General features: G+C 58.2%; 5 annotated features.

Moving 5' to 3' along the window:
* Nucleotides 2,510–2,669: a silencer, noted in NCBI's record as "silent region_13189". NCBI's record gives its function as "represses an Ori minimal core promoter by ATAC-STARR-seq in GM12878 lymphoblastoid cells {active_cell/tissue: GM12878}" and the evidence as "EXISTENCE:reporter gene assay evidence [ECO:0000049][PMID:35858748]".
* Nucleotides 6,569–6,618: a silencer, noted in NCBI's record as "silent region_13188". NCBI's record gives its function as "represses an Ori minimal core promoter by ATAC-STARR-seq in GM12878 lymphoblastoid cells {active_cell/tissue: GM12878}" and the evidence as "EXISTENCE:reporter gene assay evidence [ECO:0000049][PMID:35858748]".
* Nucleotides 6,862–7,715: an enhancer, noted in NCBI's record as "H3K27ac-H3K4me1 hESC enhancer chr20:62484853-62485706 (GRCh37/hg19 assembly coordinates)". NCBI's record gives its function as "activates a minimal SCP1, AML or CMV promoter by ChIP-STARR-seq in naive H9 embryonic stem cells {active_cell/tissue: H9 hESC(naive)}" and the evidence as "EXISTENCE:reporter gene assay evidence [ECO:0000049][PMID:30033119]".
* Nucleotides 9,890–9,989: an enhancer, noted in NCBI's record as "active region_18253". NCBI's record gives its function as "activates an Ori minimal core promoter by ATAC-STARR-seq in GM12878 lymphoblastoid cells {active_cell/tissue: GM12878}" and the evidence as "EXISTENCE:reporter gene assay evidence [ECO:0000049][PMID:35858748]".
* Nucleotides 10,070–10,229: an enhancer, noted in NCBI's record as "active region_18252". NCBI's record gives its function as "activates an Ori minimal core promoter by ATAC-STARR-seq in GM12878 lymphoblastoid cells {active_cell/tissue: GM12878}" and the evidence as "EXISTENCE:reporter gene assay evidence [ECO:0000049][PMID:35858748]".

The following is a 12,065-nucleotide window of genomic DNA, read 5'->3' as shown; positions in this document are numbered from 1 at the left end:
CTATGCTGCCTAGGCTGGTCTTGAACCCCTGGGCTCAAGCGATCCTCCCGCCTCCACCTCCCACAGTGTTGGGATTACAGGTGTGAGTCCCTGCACCCCGCCTCCACCTCCCACAGTGTTGGGATTACAGGTGTGAGTCCCTGCACCCCGCCTCCCTCTTCCTTAAATTTAAGATGGACAGCCCCACGGGCCAAAAAGGGACAGCAAGGCCTCCTCCGCCTGTACCAGGCTTGCTGTGGGTCCTGCAAGTTTCCCTTCAGGGTCTGCTGGTTTAAACCTCATCTCCCCAGGACGGCCGGGGTCAGAGACAGGGCTGCTGCTGCACCAAAAAGGCGGTATTTGCTCTCGGCCCGGCCCCTCCTCTCCACACCTTCCTTCTTCGGTGCTGACCAGAAACAAGCCCTCTCCTTTTCTGGATCCTCTTTTCACTGGCTGCCAGCAACAGCAGTGACCTTCTGGGGCGGGTCCTGCCTGGCTGGGGTTCCTCTTTCTCGCTCCTGGGTCGAGCCCCCACTCCCAGGCTGCGCCTCCCTCTTTTCTGGAGAGGTATCTTTTCTCCTGCCCTGGAAAGGGCCAGCCCACCTGAGGGCAGGGTCGGAAGCCGCCTGCCAGGAGGAGCCCCAGGGAAGAGGGCAGCTCCAGGTACTCAACAGCTCCCCAGACCAGAAACAAACATGCTACAATCAGGGAGTTTGGCAAATCCAGCCAGAGCCTCTGAGCCCAGGTGCCAGGCCCGCCTGGGACCCCAGCCTTCTGGGGAAGGGGTAGTTTCAGGCTGAAGCACCCCCTCTCTGCTCTCCTGCTCAGCGTCTGGGTTAGAGGCACTGCCTGACCCTAACAGGCCCCGCCCCTAGTTGGGGGAGTCAGCTGCTGCCTTTAGGGGTTGGGGGACAGAAGACAGGGACCAATTAACAAAGGGAGCGATTTGGGGGGCTATTACCCCCATTCTAGGTTGCCAGATAAAATACAGAATAATATGCCAGTTAAATTGGAATTACAAATAAACAAATACTTTTTGGGTATAAGTATGTTCCAACTTCTGCTTGAGACATTATTTTAAAATTGTTTATCTGAAATTCAAATTTAACTGGATATCCTGTTTTTTCTGTTTGTTTGTTTGTTTGTTTTTGAGACGGAGTCTCACTCTTGTCGCCCAGGCTGGAGTGCAATGGTGCAATCTCAGCTCACTGCAACCTCTGCCTCCTGGGTGTTCAAGCAATTCTCCTGCCTCAGCCTCCCAAGTAGCTGGGATTACAGGTGCCCGCCACCATGCCCGGCTAACTTTTTGTACTTTTAGTAGAGATGGGGTTTCACCACGTTGGTCAGGCTGGCCTCTAACTCCTGACCTCAGGTGGATCACCCGCTTTGGCCTCCCAAAGTGCTGGGATTACAGGCAGGAGCCACCGCACCCGGTCTAGATATACCCTGTTTTTAAATTTGTTTTTGTTTTGCTAAATCTGGCAGTCCTACCCCCAGGCACACACACAGTTGAGATCCAGATTTTCCTGGTTATCCAGCTTTGATCTCCGATTGGCTACTGTGCTCATTGGTCAAAGCCTGAGGACAAAGAGGGTGTCTCAGGGTCCACTGGTGCACCTGTCACACCATCCTTTCCACTGGGTCCTGGGCAGCAACAGGAGCCCTGCCCCAGGAGGAAACACACAGGGTACTGCCCCTGCAGCCAAGGGATGGGCAAGGCTTCCCCTGGGGATTGGTGGTTCTGGTCCTGCTCAAGTGTCCACCCCTGACCCTGTGGGGAAAGGAGCCTGGTGGATAGGGGTGGGGATGGAAACTTCTGCAGAGGGTGGGAGATGATTCCTTTCCCAGGAGCCTCTTTCATAAACTCAGCGGCTGCCTACTCTAGGCAGGTTGGGGCTGTGGGCCCAAAGGCTACCGGCCCATTTTGTGTGAGACCACAGGAGTGAACCCAGCAGCAGAGCCGAAGTTCTGACAGGAGGTGTCCCTGCCACCTCAGTTCAGATCCTGGCAGCGGCAGGAGTCCTGGAGGACTGTCCACGCAGGATGTTGGACGCACTAAACCTTATTTTGATTCCCCTGAGCAGATCCTGCTTGGAGGAGCCTCGTCCTCCTGGGGGCAGTCTCCCAGCTTGATCTGCTCTGGGACTTGTTTGGAAATGCAGGCTTTTCTTTAGCCAGGCCCACCTGCCCTTAGCTTCCCCCACAACAACCCACCCACACACACACACAGAGCAGGAAGTTCTTGAGAGGAGGAGGGGAGAGCCTGGGACCGGATTCTGAGGGGCAGAGGTCAGCGGGCTGGAGCCGCTGGCCCCCAGGGGTTCCATGCCTCATCCTGTGTCTGGCCCAGCCCCTGATCCCACCAGCCCACGGGAGTCCAAGTGCCCCAGAACCCCCGGCTCTGTTGAGACAGGAAAGCATGTGACAGGAAGGGAGCTGTCCCCTCTCCAGAAGAGCCCCCAGACGACCAGCTGCAGCAGCCATGACCTCTTGTGCCTCCACCGCCATCAGCTCAGGGAAGTGTCCACAAGGTGGAGGTGGGGGCTGTGTCCCTGCTGATCTGTTTGTGGAGGCAACCCCCACCTCCACCCCGGTGCCCTCCACGCCGACATCTGAGCGTGCACCCACCCCCACAGGGCCTGCCAGTCTCTGAGCCCTCCACCCCTTGGTTCCCACCCTCCTGCATTGGGCCCTCCTGCACTGGGGCAGGGCTCTCCCCCTGGCCAGTCCTGCCAACCCTCCTGCACTGAACCCTCCCTGGAGGCCCTTGATTTATGCCAGTGGAGCCTGCAGAGCCAACCTTGGAGAAGGAAGGAGAGGAGAGAGAGAAAACCAGTCCCAGAGGCCGGAGGGGCAGGAACCAGGATCAGAGCCCCTGGCAGAGGGCATCCGTCAGGGAGTGAGCCGACCCCAGCAGCCCTGGACTCAGGGAGCAGTGCCCAGGCCTTGGGAAAACTGAGGCTACCCTGGTGGGTGCGGGAGCTGAGTCTGCACAAACGCCTCTGCTCAGGAAATGGGGTGCAGGGAAGGTGGGGGTGGCTTGGAGCCCAAGGACAGGAGGGGATGCTTCCTGGAGGACGCAGGGTCAGGAGAAGGGGCGGAAATGGCCAAGACAGCTGCTGAACATCTGGAGTCACAGAGAATTAATTGCTCAGAGCCCTCAAGGACGGTGGGGTTGGTGGGGGAGTGGCGTACACTGGAGCCTTCTCCGTCCTGGCTCCCTGCAGGGCCTGTGCTCTGGGCCTCTCTCCTGCCCGGGATGAAGGACACCAGTGAGCAGCCCTCCCCAGAGTACCCCCCAACACCCATCCCAGTACACACCCCTGGGGGCCATGCTATGTATATGTGGAGGGCTCACTGTCCTCCCTGCCTACAAGCACTGCCACTGCAGCCTCCGGCCCCCCGACACTGGCATTTGGCTCCTCCCCAGGCCTGTTCCCCGTCTCCTGTGGGAATGAGCCAGGGTCTCTCCAGAATCCTTGACACAGTGCCCTGCATTGTCAGGGGAGGGAGTGGGGACAGCTCCCCACATCAAGGTAAAGTCTGGGTTGGGGTCAAGAGCCCTGCAGGGGCCAGGCCTGGTGGGTCGAGCCTACAGTTCCAACCACTTGGGTGACTGAAGCGGGAGGATTGCTTCAGGCCAGGAGTTCAAGGCTGCAGTCAGCTATGATCGCACTGCTGCACTAAAAAAAAAAAAAAGTCCTGCTGGCCTGTGTGATGTAGGCTGAATTCTTCTGGGGCAGTCTGCACCATTTCTGCAGACTCCAGTGCAGAAATGGTAGATCGTCCCCTGGGCCCCATACACACACTTTGAAGGGTATGTTCAAGGCCCAGGCTCACCCCGGCTTGGAAGACCCTAGAGCAGGGTCCTTTCTCTCACTGCAATAACCAGTTTTTGATATAAGTGCTCATTTTTGTTATTCGAAATGTAACATTCTCATCATACACAGTGACGCAGGGATGTGAAGCGATTAACCGTTCTTCCCACACTCCTCGTAGACATCCAGACTTGCTAGTCGGGACCGTGTCTTTCTCACCTTCCATTTGCCTACAAACATATACGTACAGAGAGTCTTATCTAGGGGTCTTCTGTCACTGGCTCGTACAGAAACAGACCTGGTGTTCATGTCACTCTGCAGCAGGCTTGCTCTTCTCCGAGGTGTGTCCTGAGCGCCACTGCAGTCTCGCAGCACAGGCCTGCAAATGCCCCCAGGGTTCCTGCCCTGGCACCACTGTGTCCACTTCTGCTGTCGGACACACGGGCTCCAGACCTCTCCCCGCTGCAGACACAGGGCATCGCGCACTTTTGTTCAAGGACCCTGGCCTCTAGGGGCTTTTCTTTTCTTCTTTTCTTTTCTTTTTTTTTTTGAGACGGAGTCTCGCTCTGTCGCCCAGGCTGGAGTGCAGTGGCATGTTCTCAGCTCACTGCAAGCTCCGCCTCCCGGGTTCACGCCATTCTCCTGCCTCAGCCTCCCAAGTAGCTGGGACTACAGGCGCCCGCCACCACGCCCGGCTGATTTTTTGTATTGTTAGTACAGACGGGGTTTCACCGTGTTAGCCAGGATGGTCTCGAGCTCCTGACCTCGTGATCTGCCCACCTTGGCCTCCCAAAGTGTTGGTATTACAGGCGTGAGCCACCGCGCCCGGCCCCAAGGGGGTATTCTTAAAGCCAAGAGCTTTGCCCCAGTTGCTTTTCCACAGGTTGTGGTTGTGTCGCCTGCCAGTCTTTGAGGGAGCTTCTCCGCAGGCTCTTCTGCCACGCCGGCGGCTCCGTGCTTTTCTCTGTATTTTTATTGGTCCCTCTGTGTTGTATATTCAGCAAATACCGATCCCGGCCTCTGACCAGGCCGGCACCAGCAGCCATTCCGCCCCGTGAGGCGATCCGCTCCGGCTTTTCACGCGTTGCCCCTCGGAGACCCTCACCTGGGGGGGCGCGTGGTGACCAGATGGAAAACACAGCCTGTATCTCGGACAGTCAGCCCCGGGTGTGGGTGAGGAGGGGGGATGACGCTGGGCCTGGATTGGGGGACACATGGAAAGGGTGGGGGTCCCTTGGCTCTTGGCCTAAGAGCCAGTTTGGTGCTTCCTGGCCCCTGCATTTGGCCTCTCCAGCCTGCGTCCCAGGTGGACCAGGGGCCCAGCCCAGAGGGCCTAGGATGTGTTTCCCCACAGGAGTCTCTCGTGAGGATTCCGACTCCACCAGGGGTCCCAAGTCCACGGGAGGCCACAGAAGTTGCCCCTTTTTCCTGGCTCCCCCAAGTCGTGGAACCATCGAAAATCCCTCAGGGCGACGGCCCGTGTGCCCCTGCACCTTCTCCCCTCCCCGTCTCCACCGCACCTGCAGCTCGGGTGGTGGGTGGTGGGGACGGGCCGCAAGCAGGCAGCGGAGTGGTCAGAAGGACTGGAGACCCAGCCCTCCCTCCCTGCGCCCAAAGACCGAGGGAGGCGCGCCCAGCTTGTGTCAGCAGGGGTGGGGTGGTCGCTGGCAGCCAAGTCAAGGTCCTTGGTGGGGACCCCGGCGAGCTGGATGCGCAGCCCACCCCCAGCCCTTCCTTCCTGGGGTGGGTGGCTCCCAGCTGCCGGGTGGGTGGGCTGAAAGCCGGCATCTGCCAGGGTCCGGGCGTCTGTGCTGTGAGCTCAGGGACCGGGGCTCCTTCAAGGCCCTAGATCTGGGGGAGCCTCCGGCCCTGAAGCTGGGCTGGGCGGCGGTCCCTGGATGCCTGAGAGTAGAGGAGGAGGGGAGGGGAGGGGAGAGGAGAGCCAGTCCGGGACAGGATGGACAGACTTCGGGCATGCAAGGTCACCATGAACCCGGGTTCTGGCTGGCAGGAGAGGAGGAAGCTTCGTCCGGGGTCCCCACTGCCCTGCGGCCACAGCTCGGGGAGGAAGCTTCGTCCGGGGCCCCCACTGCCCTGTGGCCACAGCTGGGTGGTGGAAGCTTCATCCAGGGTCCCCGCTGCCCTGTGGCCACAGCTGGGGGGAGGGCACAGTTCTTGGGCCGCGCCTCCCCGCACTTCCCGAGCTGGGTCTGAGTGGATCTAGGTTGCAGCCCTGGCGGCTCCTTCTAAATCACTTGTGCAGATTAAAAACGGCAACTGTCCCAGAGCTGACCCCAGGGGACCCTGAAAGCTGCCCCCCGCCCCCCAGGCACTCTCTGTTCTCAGCGTCTGCCGGACTCTGGGGCGGCTGCTTCTAGGTCCCCGCCCCCAATACCTCCGCCCAGGCCGTCCCTGGGGAGCTGGCGCCAGGTCAAGCCCACCACAGCCCGAGGCCTGGACAAGGAGCCCCTTCTCCTTTATGGCCCCTCCCCTCCCGCCCCCCTTCCAGTTGGAAAGTGGGGAGGAAGGAAGAGAGGAAAGGAGTAAGAAAGAGAGGCTGTCCCGAGGGGTCCCGCAGGGGTGCCCCCACCACGGTTCCTGTCGCTTCTCTGACTGGGACTGACTCCGTGGCCAGGCCACCGAAACCCACAGGCACCAAGCAGAGACGCAGGTACCCCTAAAGGTGGCCCCTGCCTCAAGACAGGATCTGGGGGCCAGGAAGGTACCTGGGCCTTTGCCCTGAGCCAACCCAGGAAGGCAGTGGGACGGGCAGCATAGGAGCAGAGGAGGGGCTCTGCCAGGGCCTCCATTACCGCCTTGTGTCTCCCGTCCCAGCCCTGGGATCCGTGCTAATCACGGGGGCTGCCCACCCCTGCTGCTTTGAAGCTGCCCTGAGGGGAGGGGGGGCCAGCTGCCAGGGGTGCGTGTGCCCGCCCAGCCCCTCCAGCTGCGTGGGAGCCTGGACTGACCACAGGGCGGCCAGCAGCCTTTGAAGTACTGGGGTGCGGCCACAGGAAGTGGGCGGCAGCCCACCCAGGCCCTAAGCCCCACCTCCCCAGGGTAAGCGCCTGGTCCACCAACTGGGCTGGGAGCCCAGCCTGCAGCGTCCCCTCTGCACTCCAGGTGTGCCTGGGCTGGGGACTGCAGCCTCTCCCCCAACCCCTAGACCCAACCCCAGCCCCAGTTTAGCCCAGGCTCCTTCAGGGCGGCAGTGGGGCCAGGAACTGGGCCCTCTCCCTCAGCTAAAAATAGCAGGCCTCAGGCTTTGTGGAAAGCCCCTGGGGCGGAGGAGGAAGGAGCAGGCCAGGAGCTGGGGCTGCAAGGAGGGAGGCCTTGCAGGAAGTGCCCGGGTGCCCAGGCCGCCCCAGCAAAGGCTCCTGGTCAGCCGCTCAGCCCCCTGGAAAGTCCCAGGCAGTGCTGACCTGAGTGGAGGGTGAGGGTGGCTGACCTGAGTGGAGACAGGGACCAGGAGGGTGAGGGTGGATGACCTGAGTGGAGACAGGGACCAGGAGGGTGAGGGTGGATGACCTGAGTGGAGACAGGGACCAGGAGGGTGAGGGTGGCTGACCTGAGTGGAGGCCGGGACCAGGAGGGTGAGGTTGGATGACCTGAGTGGAGACAGGGACCAGGAGGGTGAGGGTGGATGACCTGAGTGGAGACGGGGAGCAGGAGGGTGAGGGTGGCTCACCTGAGTGGAGGCCGGGACCAGGAGGGTGAAGGCGGCTGGAGCCTGTCACATTCCAGGTGGGCTTCCCCTTCCACCAGCTGATGTCCTTCTGGGCCTGGGTGGTCTCCCACCATGGATACCAGGAGGGCAGGATGAAGGCAGTTCTCCCTACCTCAGTCATTCTCTGCATCTGGTGATGACCTGATCTCCCCACCTTCCCCCTTTACCATCCCTAACGGGAATCATTCATTCGGCGGACGTATGTCACGGGCCTGCTGGGCTGGACGAAGCACTGGCCGGTCCCATCCTTGCCCTCAGGGTATTTGCTGTGAGCAAGTAGGGATTTAACCCAAAGAGGGGTTTTATTTTATTTTATTTTTATTATTTATTTATTTATTTGAGACGGAATCTCGCTCTGTCGCCCAGACTGGTGTGCAGTGGCGCCATCTCGGCTCACTGCAAGCTCCGCCTCCCGGTTTCAAGCCATTCTCCTGCCTCAGCCTCCCAAGTAGCTGGGACTACAGGCGCCCCTCACCATGCCCGGGTAATTTTTGTATGTTTAGTAGACACGGGGTTTCACCATGTTGGCCAGGATGGTCTCAAACTCCTGACCTCAGGTGATCCACCCACCTCGGCCTCCAAAAGTGCTGGGATTACAGGCATGAGCCACTGAGCCTGGCCTATTTTATGTTTTAATTTTATTTATTTATTTATTTTGAGACAGAGTTTGTTCTGTTGCCCAGGCTGGAGTGCAGTGGCGCGATCTCCGCTCACTGCAACCTCTGCCTCCTGGGTTCAAGCAATCCTCCTGCTTCAGCCTCCCGAGTAGCTGAGATTACAGACTCGTGCCACCAACTCCTGACCTCAGGTGATTCTCCCACCTCAGCCTCCCAAAGTGTTGGGATTACAGCCATGAGCCAATATGCCTGGCCTAATTTTTGTATTTTTGGTAGAGACGGGGTTTCACCATGTTGGCCATGGTTGCCCAGGCTGGTCTCAAACTCCTGACGTCAGGTGATCCACCCACCTTGGCCTCCCAAAGTGCTGGGATTACAAGTGTGAGCCACCACACCCAGCCTAATTTTTGTATTTTTAGTAAAGACAGGGTTTTACCATGTTGGTCAGGCTAGTCTCGAACTCCTGACCTCAGGTGATCTGCCCACCTCAGCCTCCCAAAGTGCTGGGATTATAGAAATGAGTCACTGCGCCCGGCCAAGAAGGGTTTTGCAGGAAGCAAACACCAGCAGCTGCCATCCTGGAGGGGAGGTGGATCAGGAGCTGAGACCAGAGAGATGGGTAGGAATTCACCCTGTGAATTAGGCTGTGGAGTTGGGGCTGACCCTGGGAGAGGCCCTAGTGCTGAAGGAATAAGAACAGAGGCCAGAGTGGCTGGGACCTTAGGGACCAGGAGGAATGAGGCTAGGGATGGGGAGTGGGGAGATGGGTAGGGCTTTGCAAACTGGTGCAAGGAGTTGGAAAGGAAGCCAATTTTTTTTTTTTTTTTTTTTTTTGAGACGGAGTCTCGCTCTGTCACCAGGCTGGAGTGCAGGGGCGCCATCTCGGCTCACTGCAACCTCTGTCTCCCTCGTTTAAGTGCTTCTCCTGCCTCAGCCTCCTGAGTGGCTGGGAATACAGGCGTGTGCCACCACGCCCGGGTAATTTTTGTATTTTTTTTTTTTTTTTTTTTGAGATGTAGTCTCGCCCTGTCACCCAGGCTGGAATGCAGTGGCGCGATCTCGGCTTACCACAACCTCCACCTCCAGGGTTCAAATGATTCTCCTGCCTCAGCCTCCCCAGTAGCTAGGATTACAGGCACACGCCACCACACCCAGCTAATTTTTATATCTTTAGTAGAGACGGGATTTCAGCATGTTGGTCAGGCTGGTCTTGAACTCCTGACCTTGTGATCCGCCCACCTCGGCCTCCCAAAGTTCTGAGATTACAGGTGTGAGCTACCGTGCCCGGCCTAATTTTCGTATTTTTAGTAGAGATGGGGTTTCACCATGTTGGCCAGGCTGGTCTCAATCTCTTGACCTCGTGATCCGCCCACCTCAGCCTCCCAAAGTGCTGGGATTACAGGCGTGCGCCACCGTGCCCGGCTGAAAGGAAGCCACTTCTAAGAAGCTCCTGAAAATTTCTCAGCTAAACATTTCTCAGCTCCTGTCTGCATGTCAGCGAGGTAATGGGTGGTAAATGCTGGTGGGAAGGCTGGAGAGCAGGGAACAGCTTAACATACAAACCATCCAGAGACTAAGTCCGGAGTGCTTGGGAAAGACCACGGCGTGCAGCGGGTGGGGACTGAGTGGATAGACGTCTCCGTTTGCCAGGTGTGGACTCCCCAGGACCGGGTGCAGCAGAACGTCCAGACATGGGTTTTGGGTGGCCCCCATCTTCCTGGCTTGATTTTCCCTACAATGGGCAGTGGTTTAGGTGCTGGCAAGGCTGAAGTTCTCAGAAGGGTGCCACAAAAGGAGGGACATTTGAAGACTTCCCACATTTTCGAGAGAGTGACTAAGAGTGGACCACAAAATCTGAACTGGATAAGAAGGAAGCCAAAGAAAGGGGAAGGCCGCCTGTTTTGGAGAAAGGAGGGTTGTCCTGGAGCGAAGCGCTTGGTGAGGTGTAACAGCCGGGGAGGGGGGCAGTTGCACCACAGAGGGGGAAACTGCAAGTAGTCATTTCAGAGTGCGTGGGTTTTGGTGACAGCTGGCTCCAAGGTGTGAGTGAGCATGGGTGCCTGAAGTAGGGGGAAGTGGAGGGGCCACATGACATCTCCCCAGGTGAGTTCAGTTTCAAGGAGGGCTGAAGCAGGCGTCTCCAGGCTATGTGAGGTCTTCCCCATTACGACCATCCACCCACGGCTGCATCACTGCTGACGGCCGCGGTCGCTGCCACCTCATTTACCGCAGTCACCGTTGGCATCTTCTGTGGTGCCTCCAGCCCATCGTCACCTCCCCATTGGCATCACCAGGACCCACTGTCCTGGCACCGCTGCCATCCACCCATTCACCCAGTGGGTGAGTGTCTGTTCAGAAGATCCTCCAGGCGAGCAGTCGTGTTGAGCTCTGGTCACTGCAGCAAGCAGCACAGGCAAGGTCCTTGCTCTTAGGGATGCAGTCATGGGGTGACCAAAACATATAAAGAGATTCAGGCCGGGTGCGGTGGCTCACGCCTGTAATCCCAGCACTTTGGGAGGCCGAGGCGGGCGGATCACGAGGTCAGGAGATCGAGACCATCCTGGCTAACACGGTGAAACCCCATCTCTACTAAAAATACAAAAAATTAGCCGGGCGTGGTGGCGGGCGCCTGTAGTCCCAGCTACTCGGGAGGCTGAGGCAGGAGAATTGCTTGAACCCGGGAGGAGGAGGTTGCAGTGAGCCCAGATCGCGCCACTGCACTCCAGCCTGGGCGACAGAGAGAGACTCCGTCTCAAAGAAAAAAAAAAAAAGAGATTCAGGAAAGGAGACGTAGCGTGACTCAGCATCCCGCGCCCAGGTATTTACCCAGAAGAGATGAAACACGTCCGCAGGAAGACTCGCCTCAAACCTTTGTAGCAGCAGCGTTCGCAAAGCTGAGAAAACCAAGTATCCATCAGCTGGCGAGTGGATAAGCGAACAGTGGCTCATCCCTACGGTGGGAAGACAAGGCCGCCGCTACGGGGTGAATCCCAAAAACAGGATGCTAAGTGAGAGAAGCCACACACAAAAGACCACGTGCTTAGGGCCTCCTTTACGTGAAATCCTAGCAAAGGCCAAACTATCCTTACAGAAAGCAGATGCGTGGTCGGTCGGCGGGGCAGGGGACCCGGCGGCAGCGGAGGTGGCAGATGCGTGGTCGGTCGGCGGGGCAGGGGACCCGGCGGCAGCGGAGGTGGCAGATGCGTGGTTGGTTGGCGGGGCAGGGGACCCGGCGGCAGCGGAGGTGGTTTCCTGCTTTCCCTTTGTCCAGGCTCTTCAAGTAGGATGCTTAAAATTGGTAAATATCGTTGTATGTAAAATTATGCTTCAATAAAACTCAATTTTTATTTTTATTTTATTTATTTTTATTTTTATTTTTATTTTTGAGACGGAGTCTCGCTCTGCCGCCCAGGCTGGAGTGCAGTGGCGCGATCTCGACTCACCGCAAGCTCTGCCTCCCGGGTTCCCGCCATTCTCCTGCCTCAGCCTCCCTAGTAGCTGGGACTACAGGCGCCCACCACCACGCCCGGCTAATTTTTTGTATTTTTAGTAGAGACGGGGTTTCACCATGTTAGCCAGGATGGTCTCGACCTCCTGACCTTGTGATCCGCCTGCCTCGGCCTCCCAAAGTGCTGGGATGACAGGCGTGAGCCACCGCGCCCGGCAAAACTCAATTTTTAAAAACATGTAAAGATTTTGAGTCGAACCTCAAAAAACACAACGGGAGAGGTGGCGGAGGAAGGAGACGGCGTCCCTGGCAGAGGTGTCATCTGGAGCACCTCACTTCGGGGCAAGCATTCCTGTTGTTTGGATGCGGGGAGCAGAAATCCTGGGTCAAATGGTGACTGTGCCCACGATCCCCTCTGGTAATTTTAACTCCTAGGGAAACAGAGGCAAATTGACACTCAAGGTCTGTGTTGAGGT

Source organism: Homo sapiens, chromosome 20 (assembly GCF_000001405.40).
Source record: "Homo sapiens chromosome 20, GRCh38.p14 Primary Assembly".
Taxonomy (NCBI): domain Eukaryota; kingdom Metazoa; phylum Chordata; class Mammalia; order Primates; family Hominidae; genus Homo; species Homo sapiens.
Note: the sequence above shows the minus strand (reverse complement) of the source record. Positions and strands in the feature narration are given on the sequence as shown.